Consider the following 21,989-nt stretch of genomic DNA (forward strand, 5'->3'; position numbering starts at 1 on the left):
AAAGTCTTGATTATATTCCCAGCAGTAGACATAAAAAAGTAGAATGCTAGAGAAAGTAGCAACTTGTTATACAAAGCATTAGTAGAGTATCTAGGAAATGTCTCACAGTTGGAAACAGAAAAATCTGTGGAAATCAAATTTCAAGCATTGTATTCCAACTGACATAATAATGCATCCTTCAAAATAATCAAATAGGCATTTTTACATAATGCAGGAATTCAATCTTCAACTAAAGGCATAAAAATAACTCTAGGTTGGTATCTAACCAATTGTTTTTGTGTAGAGTCTAACTTTTATATAAAATAATCTGAGAAGGTTTATTTAGTAATTTTCTTTTTACAAAAGAGCGATTGTTAGGCAGATACTACAGAATAATATAATACTTATCTCTTTTATGCTTTTTCTTCTGCACAAATTACAGAATCTTAGAACTACAGGACTGGAGGGACCTGTAAGATCATGTAATTAAACCTTTTCATTATACTTACAAGGACCTGGCCTTGAAGAGGTTGTGAATGGTTAAGATCACGTGATTAATTAATCATTGGTAGAGCTATACTGAGAATTCAGGCCTTCTAATTTCTAGTCTAAGGATTTTTCTTTGGGTGATTTCATCCTGAACCAGAAATCGTTTAATTTTTTCCCCAAATATTACATCTTTTTGAGTGATCAATCTAACACAAAACAAGGTAATATTTGGGAAAAAACTATTGTGCTTTTTTCTTTCACACTATCAAATGTTTAACTTTCTTCCTAGTTTACTGAAGCCTCTGTTTCCTGGGGGATAATTTTTAGTGTTACTGAAAAAACATGAATAGAGAAAGGGTGTATATTAAGCTTTTGATATACAAAAGTAAGGGTTTGCAACGAGAAAACAGCTTTGCAATCCAAATTACTTGAATTTCTAGATTCCTATATTCCTTTTTGTATGTCAAACTGAAAGTAACCGACTCATTGAGTTCTCCCATAAAAAGAAAAAGCTGGGGCAAGTAGGAAAGTCAGAGAAGGCTAGGACAGTTTGGAAACCACATTTTCATATTTGTTATTAGCTCTCTTTTTCAAATATCATTCACATAAATGAAAGGTTTTGGTCTTTTGATAATAAAATAAAAAGAATAAACATCATGCTATTGTGCTTAACTTGCCTTCATATTCAAGTCATACTTGAATCAATAGAGACAGAATTGAATCAAAAGGGATAGTCAAAGTTAAAGTGACAGCCATATCTAAAGATGTCATCTCACCAAGTTTTCTGGGGAAGAAGCACTATGACTCTCCTCCACTGTGTAAACTCACTGGCATGGTAAATACTTGCTGATGTAAATTCCTGACAACTTGGCATACTTGGAAGGCATTCCTGAAAGAAAGTTAGGCACAAATCAAACCCAGCTTCTGTTTTCCTCAGGTGAAATATGTCTACTCACCCACTGTAAGTGAAAAAGACCTCAGAGAAATCTAATGTCATAATCTTAACTATTTGTGATATGGAAACAATCCATGATTTTTCTTTCCATGAAGCTAAAACTTCATAGAAAGTCTTAAAATTATGTAAGAAATAATTTCAAATGAGGTGCCATAAAGAAATTGAGTATTTCCCAATACTCGCACATACAAACAGAGACGGATTAGGATTCTGTTTTTAGGCCTGTTATCGTAACACTGGCATTTGGTAAAAATTAGTTTATTCACTATGATATTTATCCATTTGTTGCAATGGCAGATTGCTAAGACATGTATGAATTTTATTCCCAGATCTATATATTTCTTCTTTGTTTCTAAAGACAAGAAATACCACATTCTTAATATGGTCTACCTATAGGTAGAGACAGATGAAGACACATTTATAAAGAAAGGGACACATTTATAAAGAAAGAGGGATAGAGAAAATAATACTCAAAACATCATTTGAGGGTAGCCAGTTTTGGAAGTTATTTTCATTTCTTTTTTATTTCCAATTATTCTTTAATATCTGTCATGAAGAATGTGGCATTTTTGTAATCCTTTGCTGACTTTATGTTAATTCTAAGTTACAAATATTAAATAACACTGTTTCTTTTCAACCAAACCTAAACTTCTAGAACTGTAATTTTTTTTTTTTTTGGCTTCCTAGGTAAAAGGCAGAAGGTTACCTGTTACAAGGTTTAAGGAAACTAGACTTACTTCTTGGACGAGGTGCCAGGTAAGGCCGTGGTTGGTTGAGTACTCCAGCTTCACCTGGTTGTCCATGTGTGGGGTGTATTTCTGGCCACATCCCATCACCAAACTGAACTGAATCATATAGGATGCTCCTATCTGCATTGATTGTGTTTCCACATAGCGCATACTTGAGGCAAGTTTAGAATCTCCTGTAAAACTGAAAGAGACAGAGATGGAAATCAGAAAATTCTAAACACAATGTATTAGAGAAAAATTAAAGTCTTCACTTCACACTATATACCAAAATAATTTCATTTTACTTGTTTAAACCTTGCCAAATTCTAGAATGGATTTCGGTCAATCTAATAAATGCAATTTGAAACAAGCTTTCAAAGATGAAACTTTTTTAAAAAAGTTAACATCTACAGTTGTCAAATGTACCTAAAATTGGGTACCCACTCATATATTGCTCATGAATATAAACCTTTTGACTCATTAATCTCACTTCTTGAAATCTATCCTGAGAAAATAATTTTAAATTTAGAGACAGTTTTTATAAAATATGAAAAGTATTACAGGATTACTGCTAATAGTAATTGGTAACAATGTCAATGTCAAAATGGAAGGCTTAAGTAAAATGATAGAGCACTTGACGGAACATTATCTATCTTTCAAATACTTATAGATAATATAATCACATTAAAATGTATATGATTAAATAAGCCTTTTTTTTTTTTTTGAGACGGAGTTTTGATCTTGGCTCACCGCAACCTCCGCCCCCCTGGTTCAAGTGATTCTCCTGCCTCAGCCTCCCTAGTAGCTGGGATTACAGGCATGTGCCACCATGCCCGGCTAATTTTGTATTTTTAGTAGAGACAGTGTTTCTCCATGTTGGTCAGGGTGGTCTCGAACTCCCGACCTCAGGTGATCTGCCCATCTTGGCCTCCCAAGGTGCTGGGATTATAGGCATGAGCCACCGCGCCCAGCCTGAAATAAGTCTTAAAAAGCCATAAAATTATGCATGAAGGAAATTCACCAGAATGTTTGCAGTAGCTGTGTTTGGTGGCAGGAAATTTGCGATTTACAATTTTCTTTTTGTTTTCCTTATTTTTCAAATGGCCTTTACTGAAAACATCATAATATAGTTTTAATGGTTGTGTCTCAAATCAGTAAAATTCACGTCACGGGTCCCAATTAAGTACTACATAATTACAAATTGTTTGAAGGCAGGCAAATTAATTTTTTAAGAGAAAACTGCTCAGGAGCTTGTAATTTATCATAGAAGATTAAAATATAGACATATTATATTGTAGTTACATGAGTCAATGTAAATATTCCCAGGGTCAATCACACTAAAGTTTGTCCATCACAGTACTTGTTTCTGCTACTCTGAAGCAGTCTTGCAAATCCATTAAGAGACAGCAAATGCCACAACTTGTTTATTATTATTGTTAAAGATGTCTACCATTTGTGGAATCTCGGCCATGTCCTAAGACACAATACCCACATTACTTTCCTTAGTTCCATCTTTCAGTAACTCTGTGTAGTAGGAATAATTATTTCTTTTTAACAGATGAGAAAATGGGGCTAGTAAATGGGATACTCAATGGGAAATCAGCTTTGCCTGACTCTAAAGCTTCTTAACCAAAGACACTATATCTTTGTTTTTCTGTTACTGTAAGATTGGGAGAGAAAAAACACTGCAGTTTGGAATAATTTTTTTAATTTTTGTTTTGTTTACAGTGAATTTACAAATCACTAACTTTCAGTTACTATGCAATGATACTCTGATGTTAAAAATATAAAACCATGATTGCTGTTATGTGTTTGGATCCACAGGATGCAATCTGGAAAATATCAAGCTGTAGAATGCAATTTTTAGCAATATTGGAAAAATAAAAGAAATCAACACAGAATAAAAATCATAGTAAGCCATAGAGGCACACACTTGTCTATACTGCTCCTAGGGTCTTTTAAGTAGGCAAAAGAAATCCCAAATGCTTATCTCTGTAAGAAATAGGCATTGCTTTTAGCTTCAAGGGTTAAATGTCTCTCTAAAATCCTTTATGAGGAAGATACTTAGAGGCAGCCAACTAGGCTTCATTTAAATTGTTTGCTTTAAAGATACACCAGTCTCCTGGGCATCAGGGGAGAAAGCCTAACAGTGCCTGGTAGTACATGGGCTGAAGGGTCTGCAAATGACAGAGCCAACAATGCTTTCTCACTCACACCATGAACAGTATTTCCCCACCTGAGCATTTCTGAAATAACTTAAGATTATTTTTACAATCAGCATCTTGTAAATTTCTCCCTTCTGAGATGGTTTCGTGTCCTCATAATTCTATAGAGAAACAGAAGGAAATGCTGTGTTTTATAAATATTGCCTGCACCTAATGTTTGCATGATTACAAATGTAACTACGAAATTGGCTGAAGAGAGGAAGTATTCAATGCTGAGGAGAGTCATGTGCTCTGTGAGCTATTTTGGAATAGCTGATAACAGATTTTAAAGGTGCCAAGACACCAAGAAAGAAACAAGATAAAAATTACGTAAAATAATAGATTAAATAAGCAAAATGAAGGCAGTTAAACAATGATAACCAAATTTTTGCTTAGCAACTGTATCTGTTCAACTGGTAGAATAGGAATCTAGAGTTATTTGGTGTCTCCCATTTCCTATTGCAAATGCTTTGGTGTGGACTGATCCAGCTGCCAGTCACAGCCTCTTCCTTTTAGTCACTATCCAGTGATTGGTCTAGGGGTGGCCATGTGTCCAGCAGTGGGTTCTCACCAATGAGATATAAGTAAAAGGTGGAAGGTGAATTTATCCATTTGGCTTTCATTATAAGTGTTTTAAAAGGGAATCAATGGAATTGGCTGCCATATCCTTTTCCCTGTTGCTCCTATGGTCATCTTTCCTCTCTAGGGGGCAGCAGCCATCTTGTGACAATAATGGAACATTATTAGATAAAGACCTCTCTGCTGAGACTGTGGAACAGAAAAGTGAGAGAGCCTGGGTCCCCAGTGTCCTTGTTAAGGTGCTCACAAGCCCAGGACTGCCTATTCTAGGACTGCTTGTTACAAATGACAGATAAGCCTCTTTACTTTCATCTATGTCATGGTCAGTCTTTTCTTGTGTTTGTTGTAATCTAGAGCTGAACGCATTTCTAAGTGATACATCTGTCATACTTCCTGGTACCATATGATATCTATCCTGATGCCTTAATCTGAAGCAAAATAACACTGAAAAGCACTTTAAACTCCAGACCATTCATAGCGTTAGTCTACTTGATTGTTTCTGGTTTATTCAAGACTGGCAGTGATACTGGGTCTGTTTTTTTTCACAGACTATGAATTTCACAGACTGTGATCCTTTAACTTACAAAACTGCTCCTCTTTGCTGCTTGTCTAAATCAAGACATATTTATAAAGGCAAACATGAAGCTGAACTTCTTTTCTGTTACAATCATAGGAACAGAAAAGAACAGCCCACATCAGCATTTTGGGGAGAAATTCTGGAGAGAGAAGGCATTGGGAATCAGGAGGCTTGGCTTTATTTATATTGACTTGCAAGGGTGCCTCAAAAATAAAGCTCCTACATCTAATTGCAAGATTTAATGAGAGAATGGGGATAACTCCACTTAGGACAGGATTACCTTTCTAGCCTTCTTTATTCCCACCTCCAAGAAGGCTAGTAGGCCATGACACTGGCCAAATGGATAAGAGCTTAGTAGAATTTGAGTCTCCACAGTTCTCTGCTTAGTCCATACTACAGCTCCTTTGCCTCGCCCTCCTTTCTTAATCTCATGTATTGCTGAGGATCTGTTTTTTGATCAGGTCGGAAGCCTGTCCACAGGGAGGGATCATACCTTATTCATCTCTGCATCCCCTAAAGCCCTCAGAACCTTGCCTACAACTCACAGAAGCACATTGTTTTGGACATCGTGATTTTCTAACAGCTGGATTATCTCACTTGACCTTTGAGTCAAGACCCTCTGGGAGACCATCAGGGATCCTTAACATTGTGTTATGGAGAAGGAAAATAGAGAAGCTGAGTTGCTAGCCTCAGGGTCACACAGTTACTAAAAAGCTAGAAACTAGGCTTTCTGGTTTCTCCTTTGAAGTCCTTTCTACTATGTCCTGTGTATCAAAGGCTCCCAAAGAATGTTTGTTAAATAAAATGAGCATGTGAGTAAGGTCCCTCAACTGGGGAGTAGGGAAGTTTAACAAAACTATAGTTACTTAAATGCTGTAATGAATACCGACAAGGTTTTGAGGTTATCTTCACTTAAGTAAATCAGTTTCTGCATTCTTCCCAGAGCCTCTTTCCCATCTCCAGAAAAAAGGCTCTTTTATATGAAAGGCAGACACACATAGCCAAAGTAAGTGGTAGAATACTTGAGCCACAAAGTTCCTTAAAAGCAAATTCATGTCAAAGAGCCAAGCTACCTAGGGAACTGAGCCATTTTTTGCAACTGAGCCCATCTCTTTAAGAGCGGTTTAGTATATAAGTCAATATGGATGAAATCTCACTATTCATGTGCCATAAGAGAAGCTAATGCATCCATATTTGCATTTCTTAGAAATCTAAGCAACATTCTATTATTTTCAAGGGTCCCACAGAAAAAACAGCTCTGCAGAGCTTATTTCTAGAGAAACAGAAGAGCCATACAATGTTGTTTTTGTTTTGATACCATTCAGAAGTTATATTCATCTGAAGAAGAAGAGGTGAATGAATGTACGCCTCTCTGATATCATTCTTTTATTGGTTATGTTCTTGTAATCATCAAAGAAACGTTTACTAGATTAGGCGGAAAAACTTGTTGATGTTGTGGGCTTAAAGGCAGCATTTTAACTCACTTGTTATTTCTATGGTATTACATTTCAAAACAAACAACCATATTATTTTAGTGGATTATAGAAATTGTATACTTATTGGAAAAAACAACCCGATAATATAAAAGCAGCATTTTTTAAAAGGTAAAAATGGGCAATTCCACCTTCTAGAGATGACCACAAAATGTACAGTTATGTTTTGGTAAAAATACTTCCAGACAGTTTTTCTCATGTGTACACACACATACTTTTTTTTAAAAAATTATGAAATCATAATAAATATGCTTTACTCCTTTTTACAACATTTAATTGCCATCTTTCTATATTGACAAAATATGGTGAGACATTTTGATTTTTAATGAATCAAGCCAATCTTCAATTATAAAAATTTGGTGAGGTTGTTTTCACTTTTTACTATTATAAGAAATGCTTCTATAATATACATCCTTGTATATCTTTGTGCACTTGTCCAATTATTTTCTTGGGATAAATTCCCAAAAGCAGATTCCTTCGTTAAAGCAAATACACACTTAAAAAGTTGACACTTATTGTCAAGCTGCCCTCCAAAAAGATTGCACCAAGTTACATTTACCAAGAACATCAACAATGACTGAGGTGCCACTGCTTACTACTTGTCAATACTGAACTTTTTATTTTGGTCACTTTATGCCTACACTCCCTTAATCTACATTTTTTGATTATTAAAGAAGTTTAGAAGCTATTCATGTTTATTGGCTACATATACAGTGTGTGTGTGTGAAGCCTTTTCATGGACTTTGCCCATTTTTAAAGTGGGTTTATTTTTACTTACTGATTTGTAAGAGTTCTTTATACATTGAGGATATATAGTCTGTCATATGTGTTGAAAATATTCCCTTGCTTCAAATTTGTTGTAATGTTTTGTTTCTTTAAGGAGGTTTGTCCTCCTGAAACACAAGTTTAAAACTTTTAAGTAGTGGAATATGTGACTGTTATAGTCCCTGATTCTGGTGTCATGTTTTATTGGTATCTTTTGAGACTGTCTCTAAGCCTAGTTCATGATATTTTCATAAATGTCTATTGGACATCTGAAAGGAATCTATATATATGTGTGTGTGTATATATATGCATATATGTGTATATATGTGTAGATATATGTATATATATGTGTGTATATATATTCCTTTCATATATATATATTCCTTTCAGATATATATATACACATTTATTATATATATACATGTGTGTATATATACATTTTATTTGTAGGGTACAATCTTTATCTACTAAATCTTGCCTGTTAATTACTGCTATAGTTTGGATGTTTGTCCCTCCAAATCTCATTTTGAAATTTGTTCCCTAATGCTGAAGAGGGGGCCTAATGGGAGATGTTTGGGCCATAGCGGTGGATCTTTCATGAATGGCTTGGTACTGTCCTTGAGGTAATGAGTGAGTTCTTGCTTTATTAGTTTCCCTGAGAGCTGGTTCTTAGAAACAGCCTGGTACCTCCCTGCCCTCTCTCCTGCTTCCTCTGTCACCATGTCATCTCTGTACCCACTGGCTCCCCTTCTCCTTCTGCCAGGAGTGGAAGCAGCCTGAATCCCTCACCACAGGCAAATGTCGGCACTGTACTTCTTGTACAGTCTGCAGAACTGTGAGCCAAATAAACCTCTTTTCTTTACAAATTACCCAGCCTCGGGTAATCTTTATAGGAACACAAATGAACTAAGACAATTACCTTCTTAATTTGTCTATGTTCTCACTTATTTTTTGTTTGCTTGCTCCATCAAGGACTAGAGCAGAAAATTAAAATAACACTCTAAATTATTGTGGTTGTAATTTTCCGTTTGTAACTTGAACAGGTTTTCCATGATGGTCCCCATTCTATGGTATTCAATGTGTGGAGACACTAATTTTACCCTCCCATGGGCTTCTCCCTCTGATAGCACCACCTGTTACTCGTCTCTAGCCTCTCCTTCTGTGTAGAAGAGGCAGAAGCTACAGCTCCAAACAAATTTGGAATCTCTCTACCAATGCATTTTGGCATGTATTTACCCAATACTTCATTTAAAATGTCTTTATGGATTTCTAAGTGGATAGACAACTTCTTATTTATCTAGTTAAGATTTTTGGGTTATGTCAGGAATCAAAAATCTTTTGGAATACATGTACTTCTCAGCATCTGTTTCAGGCTCTTTTTATACTTTTTGTTCTTAGCACCTGTGTCGTTTTGCTTATCTTTACCTTTCCTATTTAAAGTTCACAGTGTATATTCTTCAGCTTTTTCATTCCCATTCCCATTCTCTCAGTTTGGAAATTTACACATAAGTTATTCAATTCAGGGCTAGAATCTTAAAGCTAGATAAACTTTTAGGCTAGTAAAAAGCATAAGTTGAGTTTCTTGGCTGCTGTTAATTAAGTATTTACACTGGCAGGGTGTGGTGGCTCACACCTGTAATCCCAGCACTTTGGGAGGCCGAGGTGGGCAGATCACGAGGTCAGGAGATCGAAACCATCCTGGCTAACATGGTGAAACCCAGTCTCTACTAAAAACACAAAAAACCAAAATTAGCCAGGCATGGTGGCGGGCACCTGTAGTCCCAGCTACTTGGGAGGCTGAGGCAGGAGAATGGCATGAAACCAGCTTGCAGTGAGCTGAGATTGCGCCACTGCACTCCAGCCTGGGCGACAGAGTGAGACTCCCTCTCAAATTAAAAAAAAAAAAATTCAGCATTTACAGAAAGATGCTATCCAATGAAAACTCACATCAAATTGGGTGCTTAGTGGCAGTTTATTCTCAAGGGTCAGATAACTTCATGGGAGATAGAATTGGGGGGAATGTGTCCACTGTGAGGTTCAGGTTGTCTGTACACAATGGCCATGATGACCACAAATGAATGCTGTCTCTTCTTCTAACTGGGCTATGTGCACTTACAGCAGTGCTGCTGTGGGACGGGAGATTCTTTCAGAAGCCACAGAGAGCAGCTCCTCCACCCCTTCTGTTGAAGTCCAGATTCCATTTTCAGCCCGGCCACTTGCCTGTGTCTCCTGTGGAACTAGGCCAATTTACCCAACATTCCAGATGCCAGCAGCTAATTCCAAAAACTTTAACAAATATATAGTTTTAAAGTTTATAGAAATTTGTTGGTGAGATCATGGTTTCAAAGATTTCTGTCAAGTTTATGTTAATGAGTCTTCATTTTGCCCACGTCACCGCATTTTTAGAAAATGCGCGTCAGCTGGAGCAATCTGTGGACAAAAAAGCAAACCTCTGCTAGGTGCCTGCTGGAGGGGGAGTCAGTGCAAAGCACAGCATGGGCTGTGGACCCCAGAGAAGAAGGGAAAGAGGGAGACCAAGGGTCAGAGAGGGGCCGACTGCAGGAGACCATGCACCCAGGGAAGAATCAATCCTCACAGCTCTTGTGGTGCCCGCCCATCTTTTGTCAGGAAAGTAAGAGTGTGTGTATATGTGTGTTTGTGTGTGTGTGTGTGTGTTTGTAGATGAGTTGTCAGGGGCAACACTTCCCTGCCACTAATGTGGGAATGAAGGTGATCAGAAGAGCCTTAGCTGTTTCCAGCTCCTCCTGCTTCTGTCCACTACTTTTGATAAGGTTTTGCTGTGCCCCACCCAAATCTCATCTTGCATTGTGGTGCCCATAATTCCTACGTGTTGTGGGAGGGATCCAGTGGGAGATAACTGAATGATGGGGATGGGTTCACCCATACTGTTCTCATGGTAGTGGGTAAGTCTCATGAGAACTGATGATTTTATAAGGCTTTTGCTTGACTCTCATTTTGTCTCATCTGCTGCCATGTAAGACGTGCCTTTTGCCTTCTGCCATGATTGTGAGGCCTCCTCAGTCACGTGGAACTGTGAGTCCATTAAATCTCTTTTTCTTTATAAATTGTCCAGTCTCAGGTATGTCTTCATCAGCAGCGTGAGAATGGACTAACACAACTTCAATTCATCTCCGATCTCAGGCTATCCATAACTCCCTGACTCCTCTTTTTCTTATGTTGCATCCACATTATCTCCAGATTCGATTTTGGTTGAAGATAACTCACCCGATCCACATTTTTTTTTTTTTTTTGAGATAGAGTCTCGTCTGTCGCCCAGGCTGGAGTAACAGTGGCACGATCTTGGCTCACTGCAGCCTCTGCCTCCTGGGTTCAAACGATTCTCCTGCCTCAGCCTCCCAAGTAGCTGGGATTACAGATGTGCACCACTACACCCAGCTAATTTCTGTATTTTTAGTAGAGATGAGGTTCCATCATGTTGGCCAGGCTGGTCTTGAACTCCTGACCTCAAGTGATCTGCCCGCCTCAGCCTCCCAAAGTGCTGGGATTACAGGTGTGAGCCACCGCGCCTGGCCTAACCTGATCCACATTTATACCACTTCTCATTAGGATTTGCCCTTTCAACACACTCCTGTCTCTCTCAGTTCTTTTCTGTCTCCTCTATTTCCTTGAACATCACTTCCTTTTAGAACAGAACACACTGGTTGATGTAGTCAGGCCTGACAGCCCTGGCTGAAAACATTTAGCATGGAGGGGAGAGAGAAAATACACGAGGAATCTTTGAAATTATCTTTCTTTTTCCTTCCAACTCTGTGCAACCACGTGCCTTATTTAGAGCATACTCAAACAGAGCCATTTTAAGACTTTTGTAGGACCTCGATACTTTTAATTTTGAAATTTCATCTCACTTCACAGCAAACATATTAAAATGCACCTATGTCTCATGTTAAATATAAGTATTTTAGGTTGCAAAAAGTAGTCAAATGGATTTTTTAACATTGCCTTTAAATTTTATTTGGCTACTAGTAATGCATTTAATATACTTTTGGCTGTGATTTCTCAGCATACTCAGGAATCTGACCAAAAAATTATTTCCATCTTGAAATTTTATGAATATTAAATTTAGCAATTAATGAAGTTAGCCTAATGTTGTATTTTGTAGACATTTAATTAAAATATATTCATTTTAGTTTGGTGAGTTTCTTCTCATATTTTTTAGATAATACACATTTTTGCAGCCCTTGGACTTTTCCCAGTCTCCTGGAAAGCTTGGAGGCTGCAAGCACTGTGCCCAAAAGGAGTAATGGAAGAGGTTCCTAGGCAGAGGCACAGCTCACACAAAGGTGCTGGGAGAGGAAAGAGCTTGGCTTGTTGGTGTAGAGAGAAGGAAGTGCAGTGTGACTGGAATAGACTGAGTGAAAGGCAGCAAGGCAGGGGGCAGGGGAGGAGGCTGCAGAGGCTGACCCACATGGCTCAACCAAGGCCTATCAAGATTTTGTGAACCACTGTCCATAGAAAATAACTGTCTCAGACTAGGCTGGGTGCAGTGGCTCATGCTTGTGATCTGAGCACTTTGGGAGGCAGAGGCAGGTGGATCACTTGAGGCCAGGAGTTTGAGACCACCTTGGGCAACATGGCGAAACCTTGTTTCTACTAAAAATACAAAAATAAGCCATGTGTGGTGGCAGGCGCCTGTAATTCCAGCTACTCAGGTGGCTGAGGCACGAGAATCACTTGAACCTGGGAGGCAGAGGTTGTAGTGAGCTGAGATCGTGACACTGCACTCCAGCCTGGGCAACAGTGTGAGACTCTGTCTCAAAAAAATAAAAATAAAAATAATTGTCTCAGACTGCTAAATTTCTGTTTCAACAAACCAGAAAGAAGCACAAATCTAAACCATCAAATGTAGACTTTTCTTGCCATTAATTTGTTCAGTGGTCTGTCTCCTTACTTCTGAAACCTCACTCAGCTATTCAGTCCAAATGAAAATTTTTAGAGAACTCTAACTTTGGAGAAATACATGACTTAAAAATTAACCCCGTGGACATCAACATGGCATAAGTTTTAGAATATGGCCATTAAATTCATCCCTTAGGCAGGTCCTGATCATTACTACATCCTCTAATATATATCTTCAAATAGTCCATTCATCCACTGCCACCATCCTATCCTAAGAACATGCAGATGACATTATTAGCATCCTAGCTGAGCTCCTTCTACTGCTCCTTCTATTATCCTCTACTCCTATTCTCCACAAGGCAACCACAAATATTTTTTAAACATAAGGAAGATTACATCACTCCCCTGCTCCAAATTATTTGCTGGATTCCTGTAACACTAGAGTAAAATCCAGAATCTTTATATTGTCCTATGAAGCTATATGATCTAGTTTCTTGGCTGCCTCAGGGTATCTGCCTTGCTGTTCCCTCTGCCTGCAAAGCTCTTTTTCCATACTTTTACATAGTTGTTTCTTTCATTATTCTAGACTCTAATGCCTCCCAAGGGGGCTTCCCTAACCCTCTTACCTAAAATAGCTCCACTCTCCACTTCTGCCACATAAAACCCCATTTCTCTTACCCTAACAGCACTTATCACGGTCTGGAATATTATCTGGAATATTATTATGAATTTGAATACTTGTTATTTCCCTCTAGAAGTAAGGTCCACAAGCAAAGGGCCTTTCTATCTTCGTCTCCAACACTAATTGCTACACTTTTAGTACAAATAGTGCTTGTAAATCAATCAATAAATAGCTGAATGTATAAATTAGTCTATCAATAAATGAAAAACTTCAGGTAATGAAATCCTCATGGTGCAAAAGCTAAATAAATAGGCTCTAGCTTAGAAATTCACTTATAAATCTATTCCATTATGTTAGCCATTTTATAGAGGCACTGAAAGTCTTCAATACTGAGAATACTCTTCACAGCTGTTGAGAATAATAGGAAGTGACTTTTCCATTTGCCACTCAATGTATTTACCTATCTATCTGCTAAGCTTCCTAGACAATCATTTACTGTGAAATGGTCGCTGAGGTGGCTCCTGGGAGCCATCTCACCCGGACTGACTTCCTTCAGCAGTACAATTTTAGTTGATTTAATGCTCTTTTTAAGAGTCTTTGTAAGAAACAATTCCAAGAATACTCTAAGCTTGCTAATAAACTATTTAAAAGACAAAATTTCTGTATAAGCTACAGGTTAATGTTTCGTGAAAGGAAAATCCTAACAAAATTTACTTGGCTGTTATTCTATAGGTTGATTCATTTTATAAAAGATTGTCAGTAATTTTTTTCCTTGTAAACCAAGGAATACAGCTATCTAATATTGCATTTAGGCACTAATCTGACTCCTCCTTTGCTCATGTTTACCAACAACACAATCCTTACATTAGTATCAGGCAAACACTGACTAGTTTCCCAAGATTGGTCTGAAGGAATAAAGATCTGCATGTAGTAAAGATTCTGATTCAAACCTCTGCAAACACATATTCCTATTTCAATAAATTAACCAAAAGGTAGCAGAAGGAGAGGTAGATCTCATTTTAAAATGTGTGGTATAATGCTTGCTAACTGTGTGCAGATCCTTCTGGGGCCTGAATGTCCCTACAGAAGCAGGTTTGTGCAGCATGAGCTCTGATGGTCATTTTCCAGGTCATTTTGGAAAATTCTTTGAGTTACCCATTACTACACATTATTGTGGATTCCTGATGGTCCTTATAACCTACACGTACCTTAACAAATAACCCATCTTTTGTAACTTAAAATTCCACCTATCATTCAGTTCTGTCACATTATTATATAATAATATAATACTAAATTACTGGTTAATTGTTAATAAGCCACAGTACTATTTTCTAGCTCTTATGCTAAATGAACTGTATTTAACTTATGAGATAAACAGGCTTTTAGGATCCTTTTTAATCTGGGATTTTTGCCTGGGTGACTGCTGCTTCTCATAAAATATACAAATAATTTTTTCTTGTTCATGCTCATAAATACCCCATGAAATATGAACATATACTTTTAAAATGTCCTGAACATGTAGCATTTGTCAATTCCCTTTGACTTGGGCCACCCACACTGCAACTGTTCTCTTCATTTTACACCTCTAGCTTCCTACTCTCTCGGGCTGATCACGCCACCTGGGGCTGGTGTGGAAAATCAGGCTTCAAAGATCCTCCCACCACATCGTCACATACCACTCAATGTTACCCTTTTTTCCTCATGTCCCACTCTACTTTTTTTTTAAGTCGGAGTTTTACTCTTGTTGCCCAGGCTGGAGTGCGATGGCATGATCTCGGCTCACTGCAACCTCTGCCTCCCAGGTTCAAGTGATTCTTCTGCCTCAGCCTCCCAAGTAGCTGGGATTACAGGCGTCCGCCACCAGGCCCTGCTAACTTTTTGTATTTTTAGTAGAGACGGGATTTCACCAGGTTGGCCAGGCTGGTCTCGAACTCCTGACCTCAGGTGATCCACCCGCCTCGGCCTCCCATTGGGATGACAGGTGTGAGCCACCGTGCCTGGCCTCCTCATGCCTTTTGTAATTCACAGCTGATTTCACTTTTTTCATGTTGCTCTTTTACTTTCTTTGTACTTTCACTACTTTAGGAAATTTCTTTCTCTAAAAAATGACCAACGGATGACTAGTACCAGTGATTTACTTGTGTTTTAAAAAAAAAGCTTTAATTAAAAAAAATAAAATTAGACATAAGGAATGAGTACCTTCTGTCTTTTATGCCCATGAAAGTACCCAAGAGGCCCTTCGAACATTTCTACAGGTATCCATCTTTAAATCTTTTAGTTATATCTGCTGTTCCTCAAGCACCATTAATGATAAACAAAAACTATAGCTTTCCTTATCTTAATTCTTGCTTTAATTATTAGTAGAGTCATAGTACTTTTTTCTACCTTTTTATTGCAAATGAACTGTGTTTAAATTACATTATGAGATAAACAGGCTTTTAGGATCCTTCAGGTATGGGATTTCCTAGTAACCTAATCACTCACCATTCACAAAATACTTTCTATGATAACATATTCAGTGTTGCTAGAATGTAATCCATCTGTGTAGTGATGGTGATTGGCATTTAGATAGGAAAGTACTGGCAAAAATAAGTACACCACTATGAGCTTTCTGTTGCACAATGCTTCAACCTTCTCCCTCAACCAAATCTAGTTTATACAATAAAGCTTTTATTTAACATTTCTTTTTTGATCTCTTTAAATTTCAGAGAATGCTCTTTTGTATTGCTCAGGCAAAATAACGTCTGTTAGCTTCTAAAATTCAAAAAAGTTGCTCATTATGTGGACCTTATATATACCAGTTTTCTTCCTTTCATTGAGACAGTGAAGGGAATGGAAATGGCAGGCTCATGGTAGGTATTTGCTATCTATGATCTCATTTAATCTTTACGACAATTTTGAGAGTAAGTATCATTGCTCCCATTTTACAGATGAAAACCTCAGGTTCACATGTATCCCCCCTTTTTTTAGAAGAAATAAAGAAAAAAATTAAAAAAGATAACATGCAAAGAAAAAAAAACCACTCAGGCTCAAAGAGGCTAAATAAATTTCCTTGAATATGTGGCCTTTTGATGTTACTGTTTTGATTGGTATGGGAACAGGTTTGGTAATTCGAAAAAGAAATCATTAAAATATGTCACCTTCTAGAAATTATAAAAGAATGTGCAAGACTGGTGTTCTCACTCTATGCCCAACTAATAGTTCATTATTAGGGGCTGGCAATGGAGTGAAGCTCAGATATAGGGCAGTGGTTAGAGTTGGAGTAAGGGTTAGGGATGGCACTAGCTCATGAATGGGATGAAAGACAAAGATGGGATGAATGGGTAGAAATTCTGGGTGGAGCTAGAAGTCAGGGATGTTTGTCATACATTACTAACAAAACTCAGTTATTTCCTCTTTTGATAAAGTTGCTTTGATGCAAACTTCCTAAAGCAGCTACATCAAAATATATACTTCTCAAAATTCCTCTTTAGTTAAAATTATCTGGCTTTAATTTTACAAGCTTCTAAGTGGCAGTGTGAGAATTTGAAATCAGGCCTACGACCTCAAAGCCTATGTTTCTACCACACCATATTTCCTAAAAACAATTGCCAATTCTAAATGCTACAACAACTATTCTCTCTCAATTGTACACTTATATATTTATTTAGAGACAGAGTCTTGCTCTGTCACCCAGGCTGGAGTGCATTGGCATGATCTCGGCTCACTGCAACTTCTGCCTCCTGGATTCAAGCGATTCTTGTGCCTCAACCTCCCAAATAGCTGGGATTACAGGCATGTGTCACCACGCTCGGCTAGTTTGTGTATTTTCAGTAGAGATGGCGTTTTACCATGTTGGCCAGGCTGGTCTTTGAATTCCTGGCCTCAGGTGATCCGCCCACCTTGGCCTCCAAAGTGCACAAGCCACTGTGCCTGGCCTCAACTGTACACATTTTAAAACCCAAACTCTATATTTAATACGACAGCAATTTCCTTCAAACCTGTTGTATCTAGCTGGTTTATTAGATGGGGCAGAGGAATGTTAATGTTCCCTTGGTATTATCACTAATAGTATTAGATGCAATATTTAATAAACTTCAATTAGAATTTTTCCCTTACTGATCTTAAAGTATATGTAAGAGGTTTTAAGGAATATTAGAACCTAAAGCAGACAGAAGTTCTGAGTTCAGATACTATGTATGGAAGAAAGTATTCAAAGAATTCAAAGCAATTCATTTCTCCACTGGAAAAAAGTGCTCTAGGATGACATACTGGAAAGTGATTTGTAGCATACTGACTGTAGTTCTTCTAATGAAAAAGCAATTGTCCAAGTTTTCCCTGAAGAACACTCTGAGTAACGACAGTCTATGCTCATGGAAAGTCATGAGTTAGAAAATGAGAACCAAATGAACAACCAGCTGAGAAAAACCAACAATAATTAATTTAACACCAGCCATTTGTAAGACCACATATATATTTCAAAATTTCCCTTGAGAGAAAAAAGGTCATTGAAGGGCAGAGACTGCATACTTAAATATGTTTAAATAATTTTTACTTAATAAGACAATATGCTCCAAAGGTTTTACATTTAAAAAATGACAGCTTGTTTTAGGACTATGAGATTATAATAAATAGTTGGTCAATATCATCACTTAAATTTTAATATTGTAACAAGTATTTCTGAAAAACATCCCCAAGGTGAATTCACATTAAATCTTGGACAATGTATTCCTCAACAGGGGCAGAGAGAAAACAATGTCACTAAAAGGGGTTTATTCTGACTCACTGGCTAAGAAAATAGGAACAGTTTGAGATCTTCCATGTTGTTTCACTTTAATGAGAAGCAAGCATTTTTCATGTCCTTATTAAAGTGGTTAATGTGTTTCTCTAGTCTCATTATCACCACCAGGGTATACTCTCTGTTGTTTCATAACCAAGACAACTCCTTTTTGCTTCAGAGAAGATCAGAAAGTCAAATCGATTGCTCACATGTGGTTGTTAATAAAACTCCTATGGTGCTGCTCAAGGTGCCCATGGGGATTGTACAATTATTTATGTTTTCTTATGGTTTTTCTATAATTACTGTGATTGTACTTTCACAAAGTAAATGTATCTCCACCAATTAAAGCGGTGGTGGGTTAAGAATATTCATCAGACTTGTGTGAAGGGATATTGTTCTTAGGGTTTTGATCAAAGCACAGAAATTAAACTGCTGTTATCATGCATTCAATGCAAGTGTTAAATTAAAATGCTCAGCAACTTTTGCATTTATCTGAGCAGATGCTAACTATTTATGAAAATAAACATGATACAGGACTTGCATTCATGATATGATTCTTTGTTATATTAGAAGTGTTAGGAAAAAACTCTTCTATACAAACTTGAAGGATATAGTTTACGGTACATGATCAGTTTGAATTACTGTCAATTCAGGTCAATTTAAATGTTCAGAAGCATAAAATTCTAAGAAATCTCATTTTGTTCTACATCTTTACACCTTCTTTGCTTTAATCGTTTATCTTCTTTAAAGTCTCCAGGACTAAGAAAGAACATCTGTAAAAACAAGCATCTGAGGCTATCAAATAGAAAATGTGTCGTTTGAGCCCGGGAGGCAGAGGTTGCAGTGAGTTGAGATCGCACCATTGCACTCCAGCCTGGGTGACAAGAACGAAACTCTGTCTCAGAAAAACAAAACAAAACAAAACCAGAAAGAAAATGTGCAATATAACCTTCCCTACTTTGTCTTATAGAAATTTAGAAATTTCATTCTATCCAGTTTGACAGTGCTTGCAGCAAAAGTGACCAGCTGTACTTCCATTCCATTAGCTGTCATTTTGATGCTAGAATTTTAGCCTGCTGTGTGTGAGATCTGACTATACATGCACAAGTCCCATCAAAGGTAATTTTCTGTACAATAGTGTGTAAAATTTACCTCTAATTATGATAAGGTCACTGATGGGTCATTTATGATATGCTCTCTGGAGGCAACAGTGGTGAATAGCTTTCAGTGATATTCATCTGAAGGAATTAAATTGGTCTGACCATGACTTAATACAAAATAAAAGTCTTTTAGAAAATTATTCTTCAACCATATTTCCAGTCCTAAAGGAACCTAGAGAGGGGCAGTATACACAGTGGTGAAGGTTGTGGGTTTTGGAATCATGCAGGACTGTGTTTAAGTCCAGGATCTCTGGGCCTAGAAGACCCTAAAAGATCTGGCCTCTGCACATCTCTTGGTTTCCTTGACACTCACTACTTCACTACCTGGTCTCCAGGACAACTGGCCTCCTTCCTGGTCCTTGAATACGCCATGGTCACTCTCGCCTGGGGGAACTGTGTGCACTGCAGTTTCCTGTAGTTGCATTTCTCTTCCTCCAGATATTTATGTGGCTGGAGCTTCCATGTTCTCCCACTTTCCAATCAGTAGAATGTGTTATATCCACCATGTGAACTACACAAAGGTAGCTTTCTCCGAGAAGCCTCTCGGGAGTTTCCTATGTAAAGTAGCCAGCTCCTGAGCCTACTCAACACTGTTGTATTATCCTACTGATGTACATGAAGTACTAATCACCTTTAAATTATTGACTGTTTGTTGTATAATTAAATTCGCATATGACCACAGGAGGAAAAATCTAAAAATGAAGGGTAACTTAATTAGGCTATCCCACAATTTTGAAACCCCAATGGCATTAACTATATGAGTCACTGGTCCAATAGTGTTTGATAACATGGATTAAAAAGGAGATGTTAGTTAACCAATCATGGCTAAAAATACTTCTGGGGACTTATATAAGAGAGCATGAAAACAGAGCTACTCATGATAAATTTTATTAAAATAGTCACTAGAGTGACTTCATGTTTCATTATAAACCCCATGGGCCTCTGAGGGCGAATATGGTCATCACTTTAATAACTAACACTTTTTGAAGAGGTTTTTTTTTTTAAAATATGTAATTGTGGGAAATTAAAATTTGAGATTAAGAAATATGGGAAAATTTTATGTTTATTTAAATCTATCAGTATTTTGTTTTCAGTCCTACAAGACATTTTACTTGTAGACAAACAAGTAGGGTTGTGTAGACATACTTGTAACAACCTGAAAACAGTAGTTCTGTTTTCAAGTAGTTCCTATTTAGTAAATACTTGTCAACAAATGACTAAATGCTGAATAGACTGGAAGATCATCCTCATGTTCTAATTCCTAGTGCAAATTGTAACAATAACAATGATGAAATCCTTACCAAAGGGTCCAGTCGTGGCCACAGTATGGCTGAACATTTCCAAGGTAGAATCCCAGAGACTGAGTGACCTCCACAAGATTGGTAAAGTCAAGACTAATGCTGTTGAAAAGCACAGATGTCATGATAATCTCATCAATAGCCCATACATCTTCTCTCTGGGAAGAATGATACGGTTGCCACCATCTGAACTGAATTCCAAACTGCTTTGCATCACCTGGTAGTTCTACGGAGATTATTCTAGAGAAAAAAAAAAAGTCAAAATTTAGATTATTTTGGTATCTTAAAACACAAATATTTATAGTGGGATAGATTTCCCCTGAAGTATAGTATTAAAGAAATAGTTCTCCCATGATTATAAACATTTTTTTTTGAGATGTCCAGTTTCCTGTCTGTTTCCAACAGTCTTCCACACACACCCCAAAATGTAACTTTGCTTTCACTCATCTGCTTTTGAAAAAGCTCTCAATAAACATGGTGGTCAAAGTGACAGTATTCATCATAGTCTAGTAAAGGATCTTGGACAGCTTGTTACACATATTACAGTTTTGGCTGTTTGGAACCAGGACACTTCCTCATTCCCATGAGTTTAGCATAGTGTGTGAGGTCATCTGCTGTGTCATGGCAGCTATGACAATAAACCTGCATCTGACAAATGGGGAAGAAAATTAAGAATAATATCTAATTTCCAGGAGCGATTATTGTACACAGCAGCGGGAACCATATATTAATTGCCACTGCAATGACACCTACTTGAAAGCTCCATAAATCACAGTACCATGCTGATCGCATCCATACACAGGTGAGATGTGAAGCAAATGGCAAATGGAACATTTGTCACCGTCAAAGTACAATTAAACACCAGGAAAGGTGCTTGCATTAAAGACACACTGAAAGGGCTGAGTTATTTTTTTGTTTTTTTTGTTTTTTTTTTTTTTGTTTTTTAACTAATGAGCAAATAAAAACTTCCTAAGCCAGGTGACTAGTTGAATAACTTAGAAAGAAATTATTTTAAAACTTCAACATCTAAGGCTGAATTTACTGAGAAACTGGATTGGCTTTCATATTTTTATTGTGTGAAGAAACACGCTAAACCACCTCTTGGGAATGTACTGTTTTACATATTGAAAGTTATTTAGAAAAATAATTACCTATTTTTCCTTTAAATAATTTGTACATGGATATATGGGGTAGACTAACATGACTATCACCATTGATTATACAAACAGTACAGAACTGGTAGGACTTGTTGCAATAGAAGAAAACATATTTTCCAATAGAAGAAAACATATTTTCTAAATAAAGGAAAATCCATATGCAAATACAGAAATAAAACTTTAAAAACACTTCTTTTTTTTTTTTTTTTTTTTTTTTTGAGATGGAGTCTTGCGCTGTTGCCCAGGCTGGAGTGCAATGGCACAATCTCAGCTCACTGCAACCTCTGCCTCCCAGGTTCAAGTGATTATCCTGCCTCAGCCTCCTGTGTAGCTGGGACTACAGGCA

The 21,989-nt window shown here is 37.3% G+C and overlaps 1 protein-coding gene across 2 annotated transcripts in view; it reads right to left on the reverse strand.

Moving 5' to 3' along the window:
- RELN (reelin) overlaps positions 1-21,989 on the reverse strand; it is a 517,870-nt gene that overhangs the window by 137,662 nt on the left and 358,219 nt on the right. For both annotated transcript variants that reach the window (NM_173054.3, NM_005045.4), the window contains exons 20-22: positions 20,490-20,726; positions 2,161-2,353; positions 1,245-1,357 (exon numbers count right to left, since the gene is read on the reverse strand). In NM_173054.3, coding sequence (NP_774959.1) covers positions 1,245-1,357; positions 2,161-2,353; positions 20,490-20,726 — 543 coding nt within the window. The remainder of the gene's footprint in view (positions 1-1,244; positions 1,358-2,160; positions 2,354-20,489; positions 20,727-21,989) is intronic.

This window comes from Homo sapiens, chromosome 7 (genome assembly GCF_000001405.40).
Source record: "Homo sapiens chromosome 7, GRCh38.p14 Primary Assembly".
In the NCBI taxonomy this organism is placed as follows: domain Eukaryota; kingdom Metazoa; phylum Chordata; class Mammalia; order Primates; family Hominidae; genus Homo; species Homo sapiens.